We start from the raw sequence: 27,305 nt of genomic DNA on the forward strand, positions 1-27,305 counted from the left end.
GGACACAACTAAGGAAAAATCTCTAGCTTGAAGCTATCTCTATAGAAACCTTTAAAACTAAAAAGTAATGAGAAAAAAAAAAGAATGAAAACAAACAACAAATCAGAACAGAATATCCAAGAACTATGGGGCAATTACAAAAGGTGTAATGTATGTGTGATGAGAATACCAAAAGGGGAGTAAAGAAAGAAAGCAACAGAAGAAATACATGGAACAATAATGATTGAGAATTTCCCCAAATTAATGTTACACACCAGACCATGCTGGAAGTTGAAAGAACATCAAGTAAAAAAATGACACCCAGATACGTTGTATGTAAACTACACAGCTTGTGTTTCTTTTATATTTTGCATATTAATTCCATATCAGATGTATAGCTTGAAAATATTTTTTACCCTTCTGTAGGTTGTCTCTTCATTCTGTTCATTCTTTTCTTGCCTTTCAGGAGCTCATTAGTTAAATGTAATCCCATTTACTTTTGCTTTTGTTATTTGTGTTTTCTGGGGTCATATAAAAAATTATTGCCTACACCAATGGTAAAAAGGATTTTTTTTATTGTAGAAGGTTCTCAGGTCTCCCATTTATTTTGTCTCTCAAATTTTAGGAATCTCCTCCTTTAATTAACCCATCAACCTCTAATGGCAAGAATTTGAAAAAGTAAATTTATACTCAGACTTTATTTTAACAGAGAAGCCAGAAGTTGCAGCTCAATGCACCATGAAGCTGAGACAGAAATGGAGATCCCCCAGCCCCACCTCTCTGGAACAGGAAAGATGAATGAGGAAGAAACACAGGGCAGTATGGGGAAGAGGGTCATGGCGGACATGGGGGTAGTGGGCTGGTCTCCCCACCTTCTCATATTATGCTAACAGGGACAAAGACACATTCAGACTCCTTTAAATAGCCTTTTCCCATTCTGTTTCAAGATGGGTGACAAGAGACATCAGACACCCACCCTCCCCGGTAAAAGAAGCAAAATTATAAATGCATAATCATATCTCTAATAGAACATCTAGGATGGAACACTAGAGACCAATGACAAAGTCATGGAAAACACCCAAGACACAGAAGGAGAAAAAAAGCAAGGGGCCAGCTTGGCTGAGATTGGCTGGGAGCCTGAAGGGGCTTGGTATTGTGTGAAAAGCCTCAGTGAAGGAGTTTCAGTGGTTCACATACCCAGTATGGACTTCTGCAATCTGAACCATGGGAAAACTCCTTTAACCTAATGAACTGTGACACTAGCATGGGTGGTGACTTGGAGACCACACAAGGCCATAGCATCAGAGAACTTATACAGGGTTACTCAACCCCTTGCCAAGACCTGAGTGCTGTGGCAAGGCACCACTTGGGGAGCACAGCCATCACAGGACTACATCCAGCCCCCTTATCTCCACATCCTAGAAGATCCTGCTGACATTTCCCAGTGTCCACCTGGAGGACTATAGTGGCATTGCACTGGCTAGACCCAAAGATGTTGCATGTCCCCAGGACTCTAGCTCACAGGGATTACTACCCACTGTTGAAAGGACAGTGCAACACACAAAAAAATGGTAGCCCATGGGACAAGGGAAACCAAAGTATGTGCTTCCCAGAGTCTGAGAGGTCTCTGTCTGGGACTATGAGAAGTTACTCTGCCCTCAACAGTTGCACAAACTCTGTGCCCAGTTTTATAAGCAGAGAGTAAATTCTCCTACCACTGGCAGAGCAGCCTCTGCACTAAGGCTCAGAAGTAGAGAAGTAGAGACTAGGACTTCTCCGCCTCAAAACACCCAACTAGTGTCTCTGCCAGATGCTTTAGCAAGTGAGCTGGAGGGCTGCCTATTTGGGGTGCCACAGAGAGCAGGAGCTCTGTGTCCTGCAGCATGTCTGGAGTTGTGGGCAGTAACCCCACACTGCAGCCACCACTTAAATCAGCCTGCATCACTTGGGTCCAAGAGGGTCATACCACCACTAGCACTGCTGTAACCCACACCATGCTGGCTGCCCAGGGACCTGAGCACCAGCCCACCCACTTGGCCCACCACCGCCATGACTAGAATTCATGCAAGCCACCTGGAATCAGCCCACTGGTAACCACCAACACAAGTTCTCCTGTGCACTGCCTTTGGGCACAAAGATAGGCATGCTCAGGCCACCTCTGCAACCACCAGGACCTGAAGACTGGACCACGTGGCTTCCTAGTCCTTAGCACAACCTTATCATAGCCTTCAATAATAACCACACTCTAACCCTCTGAGGAAATCACAGAAAGCACTAATGCTGTTTACAGCTAAGTACATCTTACAGAGACTGTACCAGTACAGACACCCAGAATTAAAGCCAAAGTGCTTAATCCAACCAACACCACCAATACATCTTCAGAAAAATGTCCTCTATGAAAGTAAATTCAGAAACAAGAATCAACTGTTACACTAGATATGCAGATATCAATGTAAAGACACAGAAAACATTTTAAAAAGCAAGGAAATATGACACTTCCAAAAGAACACAATGATTCTTTAGCAGTAAATTCTTAACAAAAAAGGAATTTTTGAAAAACAATTCAAAATATGAATTTTTAAGAAGCCCAGTGAGATATAAGAGAATTCTGAAAAAAAATACAAATAAATCATCAAAACGATTCAGTATATGAATGAGAAATTTAACAAAGTGATAGATATTTTTAAAAGAACCAAATGGAAACTCTTGAACTAAAGAATTATTTGAAGGAAATACAAAATACACTTGAAAGATTAAATAATAGACTAGATCAGGCAGAAGAAAGAATCCCAGAACTTGAAGACAGGTCTTTTGAAATAATTTTGACAGACAAAAATAAAGAAAATAGCTTACAAAGAATGAGCAAAGCCTTTCTGACATTTAGAACAACATAAAGTAATTTAATATTACAATTATTGGGATCACTGAGAATGAAGAGACAAAGGAAGGATTAGAAAACCTATTTAAGGCTGGACATGGTGGCTCATGCCTGTAATTCCAGCATTTTGGGAGGTCAAGGCAAGCCGATCACGAGGTCAAGAGATCAAGATCATTCTGTTCAGCATGGTGAAACCCCATCTCTAAAAATACAAAAATTACCTGGGTGTGAGATGCTGCATGCCTGTAGTCCCTGCTACTCAGGAGGCTGAGGCAGGAGAATAACTTGAACCCCAGGAGGTGGAGGTTACAGTGAGCTGAGAGTGTACCACTGCACTCCAGCCTGGCAACAAAGCAAGGCTCTGTCTCAGAAAAAAAAAAAGAAAAAAAAGAAAACCTATTTAATAAAATGATAGATGAAAGCTTCCCAAGTTTGCAAAAGATTTAGAAATTCAGATAGAGGAGTCTCAGCAATCTTCAGGAATATGCAGTGCAAAGGCCTTCTCCATGACACATGATAGTCACACTGCCTAAAGCCAAAGATAAATAGTGTATCCTAACAAGGGCAAGAGAAAAATGTCTAATCACCCATAATGAAAACCTATCAAACTAACAGTGAATTTTTCTGCAGAAACTTTATAGGCCAGAAAAGTATGAGAGGATATATTCAAAGTGCTGACATTAAAATCAAAACAAAAATCCCAGCTAGCAAAGAATACTAGATCCAGCAAAATTATCCTTCATAAACAAAGGAGAAATAAAGTCTTTCTGGACAAGCAAATGCAGAAGGAATTTGTTAACGCTAGACTGGCCCTACAAGAAATGCTCAAGGGAGTCCTAAACCTGGAAGTGAAAGGATGATATGTGCCATAATGAAAAAAATACAAAAGTATAAAACACACTGATAAAGTAATCACACAAAGGAGAAAAAGAAAGGACACTAATGGTACTACTACAGAAGTCTACCAAACCACAATAACAATCAATAAGATAAAAATGAAAGGACCAAAAAATACATACTACAACTCCAAAACAATGAACAATATGATAGGAAAAAAGCCTAACATATCAATAATAAGCCTGAACATAAATGAATTAAATTATCCACTTAAAAGATATAGAATGGCATATGGATTAAAAAACGTGATCCAAACATGTGCTGCCTACAGGAAACTCATCCTACCAGTAGAGGCATGTGTAGACCGAAAGTAAAGCAATGGAAAAAGTTACCCCATGTAAATACAAACAAAAAGTGAGCAAGAGTAGCTAAACTTAGATCAGACAAAACAGACTGTAAGTTAAGGACATTAGAAAAAGACAAAGGAAGTCACTATATAATAATAAAAGAATCAATCTAGTAAGAGGATCTAATTCTAAATATATATGCACCCAAAACTGCAGCATCCAGATTCATAAAGCAAATATTTTATCTAAAAAGAGAACTAAACTATGATACAGTAATAGCGGGGGATTCTAACACCCCACTGTCAACATTAGAAAGATCATCTAGACAGAAAATAAACATAGAAATATGGGATTTAAACTGGACTTTAGACCAAATGTTCCTAACAAACATTTACAGAACATACTATATACATTCTTTTCATCAGGACATAAAATATTCTCCAGGATAGGCCATATATTTGGCCACAAAACAATTCTCAAAAAATTTTTAAAAAATCAAAATGATATCAAAAATTGTCTGAGACCACAATGGAATGGAACTAGAAATCAATACCAAGAGGAACTTTGGAAACTATAAAAATACATAGAATTTAAATAACATGATCCTGAATGACCTGGGTCAACAAAAAATATGTAAATTTAAAAAACTTAAAACAAATGAAAATTAAACACATACAAAAACCCATTGCATACAGCAAGAGCAGTACTAAGAGGGAAGTTTATAGCAATAAATGCCTACATCAAAAAACAAAAAGACTACAAATTTACATCTAACAATGTGCCTTAAGGAGCTAGAAAACAAGAAAAAACCAAACCCAACATTAGCTAGGAAAAAGAAATAATACAAATCAGAGCAGCTGTAAATGAAATAGAAACTATAAAAATATAAAGGATCAACAAAATAAAAAGGTGATTTTTCAGAAAGATACAACTGATAAGTTAGTAGCTACTAACTAGTCTAATCAGGAAAAAGATAAGAGAAGACCCAAATAAAGAATATGAGAAATGAAAAGGAGACATTAAAACAGATATCACAGAAATATAAAATATCACCAGACTATTATGATGAACTAGGATACTGACAAACTGAAAAACCTATAGGAAATGGATTCTTTCTTGGAGACATACCACTTACCAAGATTGAATCAGGAAGAAATGAGAAACTTGAACAGAGTAGTGAGAGTCAATAATGAGTAGTGAGATTCAATCACTAATAAAAAGTCTCCAAACAAAAAAAAAGTCCAGATGGGTTCATAGCCAAATACTACCAAACATGCAAAAAAGATGTAATGCTAAGCATCCAGAAACTATTCCAAAAATGAAAGAGGAGGAAATTCTCCCCAACTCATTCTATGAGACCAGCATCACCCTGAAACCAAAACCAGACAGTCACAATAAAAAAAGAAAATTTCAGGCAATATCCCTGATGAATATAGATGTATAAATCCTTGAAAAATATTAGCAAACACAATCCAACAGCACATCAAAAAGATAATTGCCTGAATAGCCAAAGTAATCCTGAGCAAAAAGAACAAGCTAGATACATTACATTACCCAGCTTAAAAATTTATTGAAAGTCTATAGTAACCAAAATGGCATGGTACTGGTACAAAATAGATATATATACCAATGAAACAGAATAAAGGACCCAGAAATAAAGCCACATGCTTTACAGTAAATTGATCTTCAACAAAGCTGGCAAAAACTTTTAATAGGGAGGGGACAACCTCTTTAATAAATTGTGCTTGGAAAATTGGATAGCAACATCTAGAACAATAAAACTGGACCTGTCTCTTCCATCATATACAAAAATCAACTAAAAGTGGATTAAAGACTTAAACATAAGACATGAAACTACAAAAATTCTAGAAGAAAATTTAGGGAAAAGTCTTCTGATTGTTGGTCTTGGTAAATACTTTTTTCACAGACCTCACAAGCACAGGTTACAAAAACAAAAATAGACCAATAGGACAATTCAACTAAGCATCTGCAGAGCAAAGGAAATAATCAACAGAATTAAGAGATAACCTGTTGAATGGGAGAAAATATTTGCAAAGTGCTCATCTAATAGTGGACTGTTATCCAGAATACACAAGGAGCTCAATCCAAAAGAAAAAAATACCACATAATACCATTAAAATGTGGACAGAGAATACAAATAGATATTTCTCAAAAGAAGACATAGAGGTGGTCAAAAGTTATATAAGAAATGCTAAACATCACTAATCATAGAAGAAAGGCAAATCAAAACCACAATGAAATATTCTACCCCAGTCAGGATGGCTATTATTAAAAAGACAAAAAATAACTCATGGTTTGGATACAAAGGAAAGGTAACTCTTACTCACTGTTTGGTGGGAATGTAAACTAGTACAGCTACAATGGAAAATAGTATGAAGATTTCTCAAAAATCTAAAAATAGAATTACCATTTGATCCAGCAACCCCACTACTTTGAGTCTACTCAAAGGAAAAGAAATTAATATATCAAAGGCATACTTGCACTACTTGCATGTTTATTGTAGCACTGTTCGCAAGAGCAAAGATATGAAATCAACCTAAGTGTCCATGAATGAATGAAGAAAATGTAGTATATATATACACAATGGAATACTATTTAACCATAAAAATAATGAAATCATGTCATTTGCAGCAACATGGATGGAAATAGTGTCTGTATTAGTTTTTACACTGCTATAAAGAACCGCCCAAGACTGGGTAATTTACAAAAAAAAAAAAAAGATTTAATCGACCCACAGTTTTGCAAGGCCATATCATTATCTTAAGTTAAATAAGCCAGTTAAATAAGCCAGGCACAGAAATATATTTCACATTCTCACTCATATGTGGGAACTAAAAACTTTGATCACATGGAGGTAGTTACTGGAAAGACTATAATAGAGACTGGGAAGGGTGAGTGGGGGGGAGGGAGAGAATGTAAAGAAGTGAGTTAAAGTTTATAGACACACAGTAAGCTAGAAGTAATAAATTCAATGTTTGATAGCAGAGTAGGGTGACAATTCTTAACAAAAATGTATTGTACTCAGGTGCTAGATACCCTAAATGCCCTGACTTGATTATATACATGCAACAATTTTTAGATTGTATAAATGGGAGAAAGTTCAAAAGCACTTCATGTATTTGAAAAAGCTTTTGCCCTATATATTCTCGTAGTAGTTTTACAATTTCTGGTTTTACATTTAGGTTTTTAATCCATTTTAAGTTGATTTTTGTATATGGTGTGAGATGAGGGTCTAATTTCATTATTTTGCATGTAATTATTCAGTTTTTCCAACATACTTTTTTGAAGAGACTTTTTCCCATTGTATATTCTTGGTGACTTGTTGAAGATCAATTGAACATATATGTTTAGATTTATTTCTGGACTCTCCATTTTGTTCCACAGGTGTATGTGTGTGTGTATATATATATATATCTGTTTTGATGCTAGAACTGTACTGTTCAGATTACTACAGCTTTGTAGTATATTTTGAAATCAGGTAGTGTGATACCTCTAGTTGTGTTCTTCTTGCTCAAGATTGCTTTGGTTGTTTGGGGTCTTTTGTCATTCCATATTAATTTTAGATTTTCTTCTGTTTTTTTAAGAAATGTGATTGGAATTTTGATAGGAATTTCATGGTAAGTATCTTGTATCTTTGGGTAATATGGACATTTTAACAGTATTAATTCTGATCCATGAACACAGGATACCTTTCCATTTATTTGTGTCTTCTTCAACTTCTTTTTATCAATGTTTACTAGTTTTCAGTATATAGATATTTCATCTCCTTGATTAAATTTATTACTATGTGTTCCATTTATTTTGATTTTATTGTGAAAATGACTGCTTGCTTAATTTTTTGGTCACTTGGAATTCCAGTAATATACTAAATAGAATTGGTAAGAACAGGTATTTTTTTTTTTTTTTTAATCTTAGAGAAAAAGCTTTCAGCTTGTCAACATTGAGTAGGATAATCTTTTTAAGATACAGTGCTGGAACAACTGGACATCCACATGTGGAAAGATGAGTCTAGACACAGACCTTATGTCCTTTCCAAAAATTAACTCAAATTGAATCACAGACTTAAATGTAAAATGCGAAGTTGGCTGGGCGCAGTGGCTCACGCCTGTAATCCTGGCACTTTGGGAGGCCGAGGCGGGTGGATCACGAGGTCAGGAGTTTGAGACCAGCTTGGCCAACATGATGAAACCCCGTCTCTGCTAAAAAATACAAAAAATTAGCTGGGCGTGGTGGCGCGCGGTTGTAGTCCCAGCTACCCAGGTGGCTGAGGCGGGGGAACAGCTTGAACCCAGGAGGCAGAGGTTGCAGTGAGCCAAGATCAAGCCACTGCACTCCAGCCTGCGGACGGGGCAAGACTCCGTCTCAAAAAAAAAAAAAAAAAAAAGCAAAGTTGTAAAATGGCTGGAAGAAAACACAGGACAATATTTAGATGATCTTGGGTTTGGAGATGTCTTTTAGACTTTTAGAAGCTAATCTAAAAGAAGCTACACACGGCCGGGTGCTGTGGCTCACACCTGTAATCGCAGCACTTTGGGATGCTGAGGCAGGTGGATCACCTGAGGTCAGGAGTTCGAAACCAGCCTAACCAACATGGTGAAACCCCATCTCCACTAAAAACACAAAAAATTAGCCGGGCGTGGTGACACGCGCCTGTAGTTCCAGCTACTCCGGAGGCTGAGGCAATAGAATGGTGTGAACCTGGGAGGCGGAGCTTGCAGTGAGCTGAGATCACACGACTGCACTCCAGCCTGGTGACAGAGCAAGACTCGGTCTCAAAAAAACCCAAACAAACAAAAAGAAGCTACATATTATATGATTCCAACTATATGGCATCCCGGAAAGGCAAAATTATGGAGATGGTAAAGAGATCAGTGATTGCTGGGGGCTGGGGAGAGGAAGAAATGAATACATGGAACACAGAGGGTTTCAGGGTCAGAAAAACTACTCCTTGTGTGATACTATAACGGTGGATACATGTCATTATGTATTTATCCAAACCAATAGAATGTACAACACCAAGAGTGAACTCTATTGTAAACTATAGACATTGGGTTATATCGTTGTGTGCTATGGTCTAAATGTTTATCCCCACCACCACTAAATTTATATGTTGAAATCCTAACCTTCAAGGTGATAGTGTTAGAAGATGGGACCTTTTCGAAGTGGAGCCCTCGTGATTGGGATTAACACCCTTATGACAGAGACCACAGAGGGCTGGCTAGTCCTTCTATACTGCCATGTGTGTACAGTAAAGAGATGATTGTCAATGAACCAAGAAGCGGGCCCTCAGCAGACACTAAATCTGCTGACACCTTGATTTTGACTTCCCAGTTTCCAAAACTATAAGAAATAAATTTCTTTTTTAATAAGCTACACAGTTTATGGTATTTTGTTATAGCAGCCTGAAGAGAGTAAAAGGATGTAGAAATATAGGTTCAGTAACCATAACAAAAGTACCACTCTGTGGAAGATGTTAGTAATGTGAGAGGCTATGAATGAGGTGGCGAGGAGGTGGTATATGGGAAATGTCACTTTGTTCTGTTCAGTTTTGCTGTGAATCTAAAACTGTTCTAATAGATAAAGTTGAATACAATATTAAAACAACAACATGTTACTGTCTTTGTAACTATTCAATGACATTTAGGCAGGGCAGAGGCTATTGGACATTATATATATCCTTAAAGTCTCCCTTTATATATATACACACAGATATAAATATATAAGTATAGATAAAGATGAAGCCTAAAAACCTAGTTTAATTATGTTAAATTTCATTAGGGAATATGTAATTTTACCTCTCGCTTTTATTATAATGGTCTTGACTTGAGCTGGCCATGCACATTTTCACCATGCTGAATTTAAAATTGGGCTACTTTATAGAGTTTTGAACAAAATGCTGATTCCCCTCAGACTCTTTACAACATTGCTCTGAATCATATGAATTGCCCTTAATCAATAAAGCAGCACTCATTTGACTGGCCCTGTAATGTGTAACCTTCTATTTCCAAATATGGTAAACATAGAGAAGCCATCTATGTGAGAAGGTTTGAGTAGGCTTTACTCCCATTTACCCTAGTATTGATTTCTATATATGGCAGGAAGGAGGAAAAGGGATGTTTTCATCCCTTCTCAGTTCCTATCCCTAAATTTTTATCTTACCAAGAACTCAAATGCTGTTTCCTTCTTTTTTTTTTTTTTTTTTTTGATGGAGTTTCGCTCTTGTCATTCAGGCTGGAGCGTAATGGTGCAATCTTGGCTCACTGCAACCTCCAAATCCTGGGTTCAAGCAATTCTCCAGCCTCAGCCTCCTGAGTAGCTGGGATTACAGGCACCCACCACCACACCCAGCTAATTTTTGTTTTTTCAGTACAGACGGGGTTTTGCCATGTTGGTCAGGTTGGCCTCGAACTCCTGACCTCAGGTGATTCACCCACCTCAGCTTCCCAAAGTGCTAGGATTATAGGTTTGAGCCACTGCAGCCAGCCAACTGTTTCTTTATGATTGAATGACAGCCATAACTAGGACAATTTACTTGGATGCTAACAGCTTGTGCAAAGATCTAGGAATGCAGATCTAGAAATATGAGGATTAGAGCCCTAATGACATGGGATAGGATGGACAGAGTCCAGAGCCAAACTTCTCCCAACTTAATGTATGTTAGTACAATCACTATGGAGAACAGTTTGGAGGTTCCTCAAAAAACTGAAAATTGAGCTAGCATATGATCAGGCAATCCCACTGCTGGGTATATATCCAAAGGAAAGGAAATTAGTATATTGAAAAGATACTTGCACTTCAATGTTTTCTGCAGCACTATTTATAATAGCTAAGCTTTGGAAGCAACCTAAGTGTCCATCAATAGATGGATGGATAAAAAAATGTGGTACATATGCACTGGAGATCATTATGTTAAGTGAAATAAGCCAGACACAGAAAGGCAAACATCATATGTTCTCACTTATTTGTGGGATCTAAAAATCATGAACTCACGGACATAGAGAGTAGAACGATGGTTACCAGGGGCTGGGAAAGGGGAGAGCTGGATGGGGCGGGGAGGTGGGAATAGCTAATGGGTACAAAAAAATAGAATGAATGAGACCTACTATTTGATAGCACAATAGAGTGACTATAGTGAATAATAACTTAATTGCACATTTTAAAAAAGAGTGTAATTGGACTGTTTGTAACTCAAAGGATAAATGCTTGAAGGAATGAACACCTCATTCTACACTATGTGCTTATTTCACATTGCGTGCCCATTTCCAAATATCTAATGTACCCCATAAATAATACCTAATATGTACCAACAGAAATTAAAATTATAGTAATAATAAAAAGAAAAAAAAGACTCATAACTCCCAAAACACCCAGATATGTTTGAAATATCCAATAAAGAGATGGAAGGGGCAGATAAGCTCTTCAATAAACATCACAAAATGACTCCATTCATTCATAAAGCAACCACAATGACAATCCAACTTCTGTAATTTGTTATATTTTCAAATCACAACTCAGGACCATTTTTCTTTCTTTCATGCTGTGATACAATACAGTGATTTTGTCCTCAAACAATAAAATGTAAAGCTAGCTTTACCTACATTTAGATAAATGTACTGACATAATGACTTCTTAACTTGCTATTTATTTCACACTAACAATTTAATAACAATGAAAGAGATATTTTTAATTAATATTAAATAAATACATAACCTTATAGACTATGTAAGGTTTTTATAGTTATTCTCATTTTTCCAGGAGCTGTTAACATTAAAAAGAAAATATAACAAAAGAAAACCCAGCCATTGAAGTCACAGGAACCTGGTTTTGAATTATGATGAATTTATCACTTTCCAACTCTTTCATATATGAAAATTTGTCCTTCTTATGAACGTACATTTAAATAATCTGTATGATAAAGATAACATAATAATATTACAATATTGTGTTAAGAATTCAATACATTTCTAGAATGTTAACTTTTTTTTTCCTTTCTAGTCATCTCATAGAGGGCTCAACAATCTGATTTTTCCCTGAATAATTTACCAATTATTATTTTAAATTTGGAGAAAAATGTAAGTGTTTATATGTAGTCTTTATATTAAGGGGTAGTATTTTATCATTTACCATAAATTAATGAACTTATTTCCTTAAAAGGATATTGTAAATCCTGATAAACTTAAGCACACTTTCTTAAAATTGAGAAGTCATGAGGTAGAGAATATGCCCATGAAATTACCTAAGACTGTACGTCTGAAACCAGGATTGTCAATGAAATTACATGTCTGGCTGAGAGTAATAGATGACTGGTGAGTGGTATTTCAGTTCTTTTCTGTATTCTACTGTTATCATAATGAACATTTGTTAGGTCTTTACACTTTATTTGGAATAAAATCAGCATGCTCATTCATGTCTCAGAAATTCTCTGTGGTGTCCCTTGGGGTGAAAGAGATAGAATTATGTGATATGTGTAAACAGGGATTAATCTAATCTTAGGCAAATCCACACTTTTCAATGTGAGTGAGGTTTGCAGAGGATTATAAATATGATGAAGTTAGATACAGTTTGACATCTTGTTTTTTTCGAGCGTTAATTTTTTAAAAGCTTTTCAAAAATTACTTATTAATTTTTGGTATGCAAAATCACACAGAAAAAAATCACTTGAACAACATGTCAAGTTTACTTTGAGTTGAGTGTTAAAAATGTCTCTTACCTATTGGAATGGGAATTAGGTTTGATGTGATTCTAAAAGGCATCTCTATCTTCTTTGCAAAATGGCAATTGTCTTGCCTAGAGACATATGTTGAAACAATCCACATAACTTGGGACATCTTGTTCATTTTGATTCTCAGCACTGTTCATCACTCGACTGCACACCATTTATTTGGTGGCAGCCTATGAACTCTAAAGTAAATGAGTCTGGTTGCAGGGGTGGAGGGGGTAGAATAGAGGAGAGAAGGCTAACATACATCATGTGGCTGGAAATTATATAATAGGAAATTACAAGCCATCACACTGAGGTTTAAGCTTTAGCTATTTCTGTATAAAAAAATAGTTTGGGGAGATTGGACTTTATCCAAAATCAATTTACAGCTATCAATTTAAAAAAAATCTTCACAGAGGGATATGGATTTGACACCTCTGTTAGAGCTAAACTTCTGAGACTATCAGGGATCAACACGTCAGTTTAATGAAGAATAAAAAAATCCAATCAATGCAACATCCAAGGTCAAGGTATGGGATGAAATAGAGTAAGTTGGGGTTTCCTTTCAGAAGGCTAATAGCAAAGTAGCGTTAACTCCTGGGATGTTGATAGGTATTAGAACCTGGATTATGTAAAAGAATAGGCCGGGCGCGGTGGCTCACGCCTGTAATCCCAGCACTTTGGGAGGCCGAGGCGGGTGGATCACGAGGTCAGGAGGTCGAGACCATCCTGGCTAATACGGTGAAACCCCGTCTCTACTAAAAATACAAAAAAAAAAATTAGCCGGGCGTGGTAGCGGGCGCCTGTAGTCCCAGCTACTCGGGAGGTTGAGGCAGGAGAATGGCATGAACCCGGGAGGTGGAGCTTGCAGTGAGCCAAGATAGCGCCACTGCAGTCCAGCCTGGGCGAAAGAGCGAGACTCCGTCTCAAAAAAAAAAAAAAAAAAAAAAAAAGAATAGATGATATAATTAAAACAATAGAAATCATATCTGTTTTCAATATCTAGGGTAGAAGAGTAAAAACATTTGAAGTTATTAAAGTATTGACTGGTCAAAGAGTAGAGGGAAAGGCCATAAAAGGTTATAGTTTCCCTAGAGCCATAAAATCAGAATAGAGAAATAGAGAAGCAACACTACATGTGCAGTATAAATGGATTCAGCTGTCCATGACTATGACTGTGAGCTGTTGGTGATTAGAATCAAGACTATTCTATCACAGCTGGAGCCGTTAGAATGGTCTTGGGTGGGATTTAAAATGGGGGAAAAATTCTGCATTTGAATCTCAAGTCTGTCTTTCAAATTACAGAAAGTCCTTAGAGGCTTACTACCCAAATAAAATTGTACAAACTAGAAAAGAAAACATGAGTTTAACTACAGGTGTCCTAAAATGATTACACTCACTAAATCAATATTTAGGTGTAATTGTAAAAGAACAAATTGAACGGCTCTTGAATGGTACTGTAAGAGTCTAAAGCTCTAAACTGAAGAATGTGGTTTTGGAAAAAATTTCAGAAAATAGCATTTTTATGTGTTTGTAATTTTACAAAAGAAATGTAATAAAGCTATTTAGAGTATGAATTCAGTAAGGAGTTAAACCTTTCATAATGAACCTAAAATCACTCTGGTTTCAGTAATTTAAAGATATTCTCTATATGGTTTATTAAAACACTTTCCTTAATTAGTCATTACTTAACCTTCACTATATCCTAAGTATCTCATTCTTTAGCTCTATAAAAACTGACATCATACCTATGTGGCTATTTTGGCTGTATTCTAAATGGATTTTTCCTTTCATTTTATAGGTATCCTAAATTTGGGACCATTATTCTCTTGATTTCATTACTTTAGCAGGTGCTATGCCCAGGTTTTGGCTATCTAGCTTTGTTCAGGGCAGGTTTTCAGAAGCAGGAGGGAAAAAAGTAGTTTAATGCAGACCAGGCACCTGCTGTCAAATAAAATCAACATGGAATAAATCATCCCTGCCTGGGAGGAAAAATTTTAACTTTCCCTTGGCTGTCTGCAGAGCATAGCACAGCACCTGAGACATCATTATTGGACTGCTTTTTTCAAAGGGCGCTATTGCCCTTTGATATCTAATGCCAAAACATTTATGCCATATCTGGGATTTGTAAGACTTACTTTGGATACTGGTTGGTGTGACAATGTTTGTGCTTATTTTATTATTATTTTCCTCTTACCCATCATTTCACATTTTTCACTAAGTTTAATGACACATTTTTAGCTACACAAATTACATGTATATCAAGATTTTAAAAAATAAGTAGTAATGTGTTTTGCTAAGATTTCATGAAAGTCACATGGTTCATAAAATGAGAAAACTGTATGAGCCAGTTGGCAAAAATATACTCATTTCAAAATGTATGGAAAATAACTTGTTCACAGAATAGATTCTTATCCCTTTTATTGAACCACTTAACATGTAGTGATAATTATTCAATTTTTGAATGGGCACCTACTATGTAAAACCCTTTTCCAGGCACAATGAGATTTAAGATGAAGAGTAAGAGTCTAACCCACCCCCTAGATATTTATAATACAATGTGATCAGGAAAAATAATATACGCATATTCATATGTGAATTTTAAGACAAATAATGTAAAGGCTATGATCCAATGTTTCTCAAAGTTTGTTTCTCAAATTGCAGCATCAGCATCACCTGGGAGCTTATTAAAAATGCATATTCTCAAGTTGCATCTCAAACCTACTGATTCAGAAAGTAGAGGATGGGGCCCAGAAATCTGTGTTCTAACAAGTCCTCAGGTGACTCCGACGCATGAATTAGTTTGAGAATTACTGTGCAATGCAGTTATAAACAAGGTGTTCAGGAAGTAACACAGAGTTGTTTTCTTTTTATTGAAAGGGAGGTATTAGTCCATTTTCGCACTGCTATAAAGAACTACCTGAGATTGGGTAATTTATAAAGAAAAGAAGTTTAATTGACTCACTATCCTGTATGGTTGTGGAGGCCTCTGGAAAGTTATAATCATGGTGGAAGGCAAAGGAGAAGCCAGGCACGTCTTATGTGTTGGCAGGAGAGAGAGAGAAAGAGAGAGAGGAACCACTACGCACTTTTTTTTTTTTGAGATGAGGTTTCACTCTGTCACCCAGGCTGGAGTGCAGTGGTGTGATCTCAGCTCACTGCGACCTCTGCCTGCTGGGTTGAAGTGATTCTTATGTCTCAACCTTCCAAATAGCTGGGATTATAGGTGTGTGGCGCCATGCCTAGCTCATTTTTGTATTTTTTTACTAGTGACAGTTTCGTCATGTTGGCCAGGCTGGTCTTGAACTCCTTACCTCAAGCGATCCACCTGCCTTGGTCTCCCAAAGTTCTGGGCTTACAGATGTGAGCCACTTCGCCTGGCCCTGCCACACACTTTTAAGCCATCAGATCTCATGAGAACCCACTCATGAGACAGCACTAGGGGAATGGTGCTAAATCATTAGAAACCACCCTCATGATCCAATGACTTCCACCAGGCCCCACCTTCAATACATGGGGATTACAATTTGAGATAAGATTTGGGTAGGGACAAAGAGCCAGACAGTATCACAGACTTTCAAGGGAAATTAAGAAAGGAATGAATATCTATTGAATGCTCCTATGTGCCAGAGCAATTGTTTTATTATTATAGCAATCTATAAAGTTACTTTCAATTTACAGAAGAGAAAAGTATCACAGACTTTAATAAAATTGCCCAAGGTCACACACCTAACTCTTGATCAAGAAAGGAGCTGAAACTGTGTCTATTCAAAACTCAGTGAGAAGAGATACAAGAAGGATGGTTTTACTGAAATGTAGTTTCACCAGCCTCATAGGGACTGCGGTATTCATAATTCTAAGATGGACCCCAAGATTCTTAGCTTCTGCTAATATACATACCTTCTCCCAATGGTTCAAACAATATCTAGGCACTGCTATAAAGGGATTTTAGAGATTTAACTAGGCCTAAATCAGTTTACATTAACATAGGGATATTATCTGGGCAAGCTGACTAATCCCAACAGATCTTTACATCTGGGTTAAGAAGTCAGAAAAAGATGAAATCAGAAATTGGAAGCATGAAGACTCAATGCAGTGTTGCTGGTTTGAAGACAAAGAAGATTATTTGGCAAGAAATGGAAGTGGTCTCTAGTAGCTGAGAGTGGTCCACTGTTGGTAGCCAGCAAGAAATGGGAAATTCATTCATACAGTCACACAAAAATAAATAAATTATGTCTACAACTGGTTAACTTGGAAGAAAACCCTGATCCTCAGATGGGAATAATAGCTCCAGCTGAAATCATGATTTAAGCCTGACAAGACCCTGAGCAGAGGGCCCACCTACTTTACCTGGGCTCCTGACCCTCAAAAAGAATGAGGTAGTAAGTTTTTGATGTTTTAGGCCACATGGCTTATAGTCATTTGTTAGGTAGTAATATAAAACAAATACAGATTTTGGTATGAAAAGTGGTGTGCTGCTATAATAAATAATTAAAATATGTGGAGTACATACTTGGAACTGGATAGTGGGGAGAGAATGGAAGAATTCTGAGGCATATGGTAGAGGAAGCCTATATTCCCTTGAACAGTTAGAAGAAATGTGAACATGAAAGACACTAACGGTGAAGGCTTAGAAGGAAATGAAGAGCATGATAGAGAAATCCCAACTGGCTTTGGACAGATTGCAGGTGGAAATCTTGAACTTAAGGATTCTGATGGTGATGCTCACAAGGAAGTTATGAGTATGTTACTGGAAAGTGAAGGAAGGGAGATCCTTGTTAGGTAGTGGCAGAATGTAGAGCAAAACTATATTCTGCAGCTATCTGGAAAGCAGAACTTTTAAGTAATAAATGCAGCTGTATAGATAAGGAAATTTCAAGCAAGGTGCAAAAGGTTTTTCTCATTTCTTCTTGTCACTTATGGTAAAATTTGAGAGGAGAGACAAAAATTACGGAAAAAACACATTAAACAAAATCAATTGTTAAGCAAGTGTCCCCTGCAGGAAAAGATACAGTAGAGGGGTTAGCCGGATGCTGTGTGATACACATACATAGGCAGAACACTGGAGCACATGCTGAATCTGAAAGAGGGAAAGATATTCCCACACAAGGTCATAAGTCCAGTACAGGATGTGAGGACTCTATCTCTTGGTTGAGTTGCAAGCTCAACTCCTATTCTTATACGGCCGAAAGAGGGTCCAAAGACTGAAACACATCAGACTGCCTTCCCAAATTAAACAAGGATCTGATGATTGGGGAAGTGTGTAGCCTATCCATATGGTGGAAGATTCTAAAATTAAGATATTGCTTCCAAAATATGGCATAGAGTAAAAGACAAGGCTGTGGCCATATAATTGTTTGCTAAAACCTTAGAAAGAAAAAAAAGTCAGTCACAGGAAAGGATATTTTAAAAGATTAAGAGTATGCCTTACAGATCCTCTCAAACAGACTAGATCACCTGTAGGAAGCTTAAGAGAGTTGGCTCCTGACCATTGCAGCAGGAGCACAAAAAAAAAAAAAAAAGGGTGGGGGGTAATCTCCAAAAGATGATTTGTAGCTGTGGCTTTTGTTTAATAGCGGGAAATCAGGAAATCCAGCACAATTCCCAGAAGATTGATATATTTCTTGAGAAAATTATATCAACAAAAATACATCCAGGTTGGATTGAAAAGGACAGAGAAAGTAGGAAATGAAAAGAAGCTACCATATATCTGAAATTCCACTGTGTAGAAGCAGGCTGATGAAACTGCTTAATTGCAAATGCTTGCTGTCTTTAATGACTACAGAAGGATGACTCAGAATGTGAAATCAAGAGCCCCGATTATGACGCTGAGAGCCATAAAGGATTGGTCCCAGGCCTTGAAGCCGGATCAAGGAACTCTGGCCTAACTGGATTTCAAAATTGCTTTGGCCCAGCGACTCCTTTTACTTTGCACTTTTATCTTTTTTGAAATAGAATGTCTATAACTTTAACGTATGCCAATTCCACTGTTGTTGCAAGGAAACATAATTTAGGCGCATGATTTTATCTTCAGTTTCATAGGTCCACAGATACAAAGAAAATCTGACCCAGGATGGATTATAACCTGGGGTCTGATCAGTCCTAATTTCGAGCATTTAAATGTTAAATGGTGAAATTTAGATTTAATAAATGATGAAATGTTAGATTTGAGCTGCCACTATAATGGAATGAGATTCTTGGAAAGCTTAGGAAAGGATGAGTCTATTTTGCATTTGGGAGATACATGAATCTTTTTTGGGAACAGAGGACAGACTGTGTTAGGCAGAATTTTAAGTGACCTCAGAGATTTCTGGACTCTGGTGTACACATGCCTTCTCCCATTATTCAATCAAATATTCATCTAGCTACTGCTGTGAAGGGATTTTTCATACATAATCAAGAACCTAAATAGTTTAGTTTTCTTCTAAACTACATGGCAAAGACAAAAGAGTATTTTTAAGTAGATTATTTGTTGAATTAAAGTTGTTTTGAATAACAAAGTTAAATAATTGATATAAAGTGACCACTGTTCTCCTAAATTAAATATTATTTGCTTTCTTTTATGTAGTCCTAGAATTATCATGTAAATTACTACACTTCAAAAGAATCCCTCAATTTGTCAAATGATAAGATAATCATTACCTCTGATTATTCTTTTGTCTGAAGAGTCTGATGTGCCTCCCATTCACTTCTAGGTCACCAGTATTAATCTCAGATGCCTTGTTTTTTCTATTTTTTTCTTTTCTCTGTTCCTTTTTGTTTTACGTAGTTGTCCCTGGAATTTACTTTGAGCCCAGTTATTTTAACTTAATCTATAGTTTTTGAAAATAATGTTACATTTCCATAGATTCTATTTTAAACACTTTTACGGTATATCTTTATTTATATAAACAATGTAGACATTTTATTTTAGACTATCTTTGGTGTGTCAGAACTTTTGGGCATTCATTAGAATAGATATGTACTCAGTTTCTCTGGGTATTTGTGGTAGTCAGTGCTAATAAAAGGGCTCTTACGTAATAAAAATTTCACTTTTCTGGGTATCACAGCGATACAGTCCAGGCCCATATCATATATAAACCTAGTGCCAGCAAAAGAATAAGAGCTAATTGTTCTGAATGGAACCATAAAGTCTGTCACCACATGAATTGGTGACCGGATTTGTTCTGCTGAAAGATCCATCAGTGAATTGGACTATCAATTTAAATTTGACTGAATTCAAACCAGATGACCTTTATAAAAGCCTCATGGGCACTATTGGGGAGGAAAATGAAAGAGTAGTATAGAACTTCAACTGCCACATTATATATAATAATGATTTTAACTACTTTATTCTAAATACCAAATTCCAGATTGTTGTAGACTCCTTTGAATATATGGCTGAGAACTTCACTTTAGAAAAGATATAAAGTCCTCAATATTACAAGGTGAAACTAATTTTCCAAACAGAACTCACCTAAAAAGGGTTACTATTTCAAGCTGAACACTGCTTCTTCCTTTGCTTTGACTTTTCTCTGTGAAGTTGAAGTTATTTAAACTTCACTATATGTTGGTAATGCTAAGATTGATTCCATTTCATTTAGTGATCCTTATTTTGGAATAACGTTGATTTTTTTCTGCAACATGAATGGGGTATTTGCAATTTCTGAGATAAGGAATAGTTCAAATGAGAGCAGGAGTGAGAAAGGTCTAAGATAATTTAATTAACAAATATTTATTCCTAACCAAGTTCACCAGCTGAAATAGAACTAATAGCTATTGATATTCTAAACTTATTCATAATCTTACCAAATGGACATTATCGAAATTGTATGGGTTTTACCTCCACAATATTCTTTGCTTTGGACACATCATTACTTTATTAATTGTCCTTTTGCTGTATATAATGTATGCATGGGTACACATATATGCACATGCATTCTATTTGTCATGCAGACTCTCTAAAGCAACCCAAGAAATGTCAGCAGACCTCCTGGAGGCAGGAAGTGAGACTCATTTCAATTTCAAACTACATTAATTCTGAATGAAATCAAAGCTATTCTCACATTTATTATGGCAACCTGGTACAAGTGAAAAATTGCAGAATTTTAATAAAGCCATTTCCATTGGTTTCCTTACATTCCTGCAAACTCATAAATCAATTTCTGTCAGCCTTTACAAATTTATCAGTTCTTATGAGTAAACGTGACAGCCAAATACTATTTAAATCTATAAAGCTATATCTCTGTTAGTGAGCTAAATAAAGTGTTGGCCTCAAAGATGCCCTCTTTGTTATTTAGAGTTTATTTATTTCTAGCTCATTTAAACTATCTGAAGCAACAGGAAATATTTTACCCAGAGCAACAAAAACAACAAAGATTAAGTCAAAAGTCTATGTTTCTTTAACGGTCGAGTACAAAATAAAATTAAATTGAAAATCAAGTTAAAGTAAGAAAAGCAAAATGCTTTATTCAATTTTTTAAAAGAAGGGAAAAAAAACCTATGCATGTGAATTATACTGTAAAAAAATACCTCTTAGTATCTTTGAAATTTACTCTTTAGATCCTTAACACCTTTGCATACACATGGTAAACATTAATTTCTGGGTAATAAAAATGTGATTTAATGCCACATTCACAGCTTTATGCATATTCCAAATGTCTCAGCAGACTAATTAGAAGTATCACATTTTATGGAATGAGCATTCCTCCTTATTTTCTTGGTCTCTAACTACTGTGTAAAATTTAAATAAATGAGGTATGTCTACAGCAGAGAGAAAGGTGGAGAAAATGCTAAGTAGAACTGTAGTTAGGCTAATAAGGTGAATGTTTTGGGTCTATAATTTTTGCACCAACAAAATTTCTTTAGAAGGGTCACAGTCAGAAAGTGAAGATAATCAGACAAGTAAGATTTCTGAACATTACAGAATTTATGACATTATCCAAAGCAGTAACTCCTCAGGCCAGTTGAGTAGATGTTAAGAAACAGTCAATAGTCCTAATTTGTGTCTATTATTTCTTACTGCCAGTCAGGTGGCTTTGTAATTGAAATGCTCAGTAATAGTTTTCTACCTAAATTCTAATGATGCCCTTTATAATTCTCTTTTTAATGCAGTTCCTGAACTTTAGAAAGGTTGTTCACTGCCAAATGTCAGTTCATTGTGAAGTGCTGTATTGGAAAACCTCTTGGTTTTTAAAAAAGATGAAGTATTGTTCATTATGCCTGTTGAAAATTGCATTGTCCAATCATATGCTAAATTGTTGATCAGTTGTCTCCTATCAAATAACAGGTAGAAAAAGATTAATAACTTATTTTCTAATTTAACAAATATGCCATATGTAGAATATTTGAAAATAATATTTTAAAAGAAAATGCACAATTTATTAAATTACAAAAGCTTATCATAAAAACTTTATGGTCACTTAATTTGTGAACTCTAGTAAAGAATTATTATCATAGAATCACCATTAAAATGATCAGGTAAAATTTATCATCATCACTTTCCATCCAATTCATACCTTCTGGAAATAATTTTCTCCTTTTCTATTTTGGAATCAAAGATCTTTTTGCTCATCCTGCTTTTTTGATTGATTGTTAAAACATGTGAACCCAGAGTTTCTGAGATATACAAGTTAATAATTAAATTTAGTTTTTAATAAAAAGAACAAAAAAAACCACAGAATTTTTCAGAGTAAAAAAATTATTTTTATTCAATTTGTTATTTAAAAATTGGATGGCAATTGGACAACTTCAAAACTATGTCCCACAATGAGCAAATATAGTTTAAATATAGTTTAAATTTAGTGGGAGAGACTGAAAAATGCGTGTATTTTTGACATCTGGATATTGATTAAGATTAAGATCCCTAAAACTAGAAGATCAAAACGAAAAGCCAACTAAAATTTTATTTATCCTATTATGGAGGAAGTTTAATATAATTTATTCTGTTTATACCTATTTAACTGATATGTTAATTTACAAACATATTGAACAAAGGTACATGTGTCTCTTGGGATTTGCAGCTTCGGGAGATTAAGAATTTTAGATTTGCTTTTCTTACGGAGCTCTGTCAGAAGTCGTTTATGGGTAAATTATTCTGATTAGGACTAGACGGTTTCTCAGGAATGCCATAAAATAAATCTAAATGTCTCAGCTGTGTTTCTGGTCCAGCAACACCCTCATTAAAGAAACACCACACAATTGCTATGTTGGCAGCCTTGATTTTAAACACCACTCTAGGTTGCACGTAAAAGAGAATAAATTACCTTCTTATTCTTCTAAAAGTCCATAGTGCTTGTAATTTAGTATTGAGAGGCACTCTGAGAACAATGTCCAGAAGCATAAACTACTTCTCCCATAAGGGTATGATACCTGTGAAACAGATGTCATTAACCACAACTCTCAATTTTTCATGTTTTACAGGCAAAGCCAAATATTTTAGGAATTATGTAACCACTCTTAATAAGTGATAAGTAAAAATACTCCCAAGTTAAATTTCATTTCCAGTTTCAGAGGACTTCATTATCCTTAGAAAAATCAATAATCAGAATATGAGAGAAAAAGAAAACTGAATTTGAAAGCTCAAGACACTAAAAAATTAAGATTTCAGTGGGGCTTCAGTCATGTCATATATCAATTACAATATTTTTCTGTGGTGCTGATTCCAAAATACAGACTCTCTAGCCTATGTATTTAACTGAGACGATCCCTTAGGGTTTGAAAATATGAGAAACTGGCTCTGTCAGAATGCAGACTGCTTAGAGGTAAATGTTCAGTATCAAATCTGCTCTTATTTTTAAAATGTGGCTTTTGGAATAGTTGTTTACCGCTTATTATGATGTTGCCAAGTGTCATTTGTGCTGAACTGCTTTAAAAATATGAAGAATTATATGTCTCAGAGCTAAGAAAAAATACTGGATGTGAATAAAATACTTTGCCCTAAAATCCCATTACGAAAAATGGACAAATTTTGATTACCTATGCACATGCCATGGATTCACATGATAAAGGACAGAAAACAAACATAGTTTCTTTGCATCATCATAAGATAATCCACAAGTTACGTGGATTTGTATAAAATTTTATTTTAGTAAATTGACCTCATTGACTTTGTTCTCGTTATCATGATGACAGAATCATTGAACTGATTGAAATATTTGACAATACATGCTTTTAGCATTTTGATTCTTTGTTCAGATGAGGAAGAAAATGTTCAATTCAGTTTAATGTACATTTAATGAGCACTTACTCTGTTGCAGTCACTATATCAGACACTGAGATGCATAATGAATAAACTAGAGACTTTATGTATTCATCTAGTTATTGCATGTTCAACTCTTATGGACTTTCCAACTAAGAACAATAACAACAAAAATCAAAACAAATTAATCAAAACAAAAATCTTCAAAAGTCATCCCAAACATAAAATAATTGAGTTTCAACACAAATATTTCCTTTTCTTTCTCCCACCCACTTTTCACTGTAATTCTCACTGTATAAATAAAATTACTTAAAAGTTTCCCAGTCGAGAAACAGAAGCAATGAAAATTAGGTAATTTATTCAGTGTTTCCAGAAGCCACTTAAAATTAGCAGGTGTGGGAGAAGAAATACAGATCTCTGGCTTTGTATTGAATAGAAGAATTGGATTAAAAGACTATGCCCTAAATCTGGCTCCAAAGCCTCCCATTTTTGTAATTTGGTACAGTTGTGTGACTTTGGAAAAGTCACTTAAATTTGTAGCACCTTAACCAATTCACCTGTAAAATGACGTATAATACCTTTCCTTTCTAACTTACAAGGTCAAAATGCTGATTAAATGAAATAGTATACATACGGAAACACAATTCAATATTCTCAGTTTTGTAATTAATAGATATTTAATGCAAAATCGCTTGCAGAAATTAAAGGTTTCTCATATTAAGAAATGCCAAACATTCTGAATTGTCAAAAAATGGGCACTGCCAGGTGCAGTGGCTCATGCCTGTAATATAAGTGGCTTTGAGACTCTGAGGCAGGAGGATCATTTGAGGCCAGGGGTTTGAGAGAAGCCTGGGAAACATAGTGAGAACCCCAGCTCTACAAAGTTTTTTTAAAAAATTAGCTGGGCATGATGGTGCACATCTGTAGTTTCAGCTACTCAGGAGGCTGAGGCAGGAGGATCACTTGAGCCCAGGAGTTTGAGGCTGCAGTGAGCTATAATTATGGCACTGCACTCCAGCCTCAGTGACAGAACAAGACCCTGTCTCAACAAAAGACGTGGGACACCAGATGAAGTTATTAAATTTAATAGATACGGTAGTTAAAGTGATATTTTCACTTATCCATGTTCAAAAACCAATTTTCTGAGTTTGTTTTTGTTTGTTTCTTTTTATAACAAAGGCTTATACTCTTAGTTAAAGCCCCTTTTGGGATATGCTATATTAATGCTCTGAATAACACTCTGAAGATTTTTTATAAGTTTCAAGAGCTGATATTTTGAAAATGTCTATATTCTAGAACCTGGTGGACAAAGTAATACATCCAGCAATAGAAGTAAACCCTGCAAATGAAATGGTCTTTCAAAGATGCCAAAGCATTATTGGTGCCCTTATGGAGTTGACAGGAAGCCAAAGCTGAAGAGCATATTTTAATCACTTGATTTAATTCGATTACCACTGTAGCTATTATAAGAAAACGATTTCCAATTCTGTGAAGAAAGGCATTGGTAGCTTGATGGGGATGGCATTGAATCTGTAAATTACCTTGGGCAGTATGGCCATTTTCACGATATTGATTCTTCCTACCCATGAGCATGGAATGTTCTTCCATTTGTTTGTATCCTCTTTTATTTCATTGAGCAGTATGGAACCAAAAAAGAGCTCGCATTGCCAAGTCAATCCTAAGCCAAAAGAACAAAGCTGGAGGCATCACACTACCTGACTTCAAACTATACTACAAGGCTACAGTAACCAGAACAGCATGGTACTGGTACCAAAACAGAGATATAGATCAATGGAACAGAACAGAGCCCTCAGAAATAACGCCACATATCTACAACTATCTGATCTTTGACAAACCTGAGAAAAACAAGCAATGGGGAAAGGATTCCCTATTTAATAAATGGTGCTGGGAAAACTGGCTAGCCATATGGAGAAAGCTGAAACTGGATCCCTTCCTTACACCTTATACAAAAATCAATTCAAGATGGATTAAAGACTTAAACTTTAGACCTAAAACCATAAAAACCCTAGAAGAAAACCTAGGCATTACCATTCAGGACATAGGCATGGGCAAGGACTTCATGTCTAAAACACCAAAAGCAATGGCAACAAAAGACAAAATTGACAAATGGGATCTAATTAAACTAAAGAGCTTCTGCACAGCAAAAGAAACTACCATCAGAGTGAACAGGCAACCTACAAAATGGGAGAAAATTTTCGCAACCTACTCATCTGACAAAGGGCTAATATCCAGAATCTACAATGAACTCAAACAAATTTACAAGAAAAAAACAAACAACCCCATCAAAAAGTGGGCAAAGGACATGAACAGACACTTCTCAAAAGAAGACATTAATGCAGCCAAAAAACACGTGAAAAAATGCTCATCATCACTGGCCATCAGAGAAATGCAAATCAAAACCACAATGAGATACCATCTCATACCAGTTAGAATGGCAATCATTAAGAAGTCAGGAAACAACAGGTGCTGGAGAGGATGTGGAGAAATAGGAACACTTTTACACTGTTGGTGGGACTGTAAACTAGTTCAACCATTGTGGAAGTCAGTGTGGCGATTCCTCAGGGATCTAGAACTAGAAATACCATTTGACCCAGCCATCCCATTACTGGGTATATACCCAAAGGACTATAAATCATGCTGCTATAAAGACACATGCACACGTATGTTTATTGCGGCATTATTCACAATAGCAAAGACTTGGAACCAACCCAAATGTCCAACAATGATAGACTGGATTAAGAAAATGTGGCACATATACACCATGGAATACTATGCAGCCATAAAAAATGACGAGTTCATGTCCTTTGTAGGGACATGGATGAAATTGGAAATCATCATTCTCAGTAAACTATCGCAAGAACAAAAAACCAAACACCGCATATTCTCATTCATAGGTGGGAATTGAACAATAAGATCACATGGACACAGGAAGGGGAATATCACACTCTGGGGACTGTGGTGGGGTGGGGGGAGGGGGGAGGGATAGCATTGGGAGATATACCTAATGCTAGATGACGAGTTAGTGGGTGCAGCGCACCAGCATGGCACATGTATACATATGTAACTAATCTGCACAATGTGCACACGTACCCTAAAACTTAAAGTATAATAATAAAAATAAATTAATTAATTAATTAAAAAAAACCAATAGAAATCTAAAAAAAAAAAAAAAAAAGAAAACGATTTATACTACCTAAGTAATAAATATATATATGAGAGTTGCTTGGCAGATCAATGGAAGAACAACATTTACTAAAAACTGAATTCTTATGGTTTTAGAGGTAACAAACTTTGTAAGGTCTGAGCCAATACATACTTTCCATATTATATGAAATGATTATC

This window comes from Homo sapiens, chromosome 5, assembly GCF_000001405.40.
Source record: "Homo sapiens chromosome 5, GRCh38.p14 Primary Assembly".
NCBI lineage: Eukaryota > Metazoa > Chordata > Mammalia > Primates > Hominidae > Homo > Homo sapiens.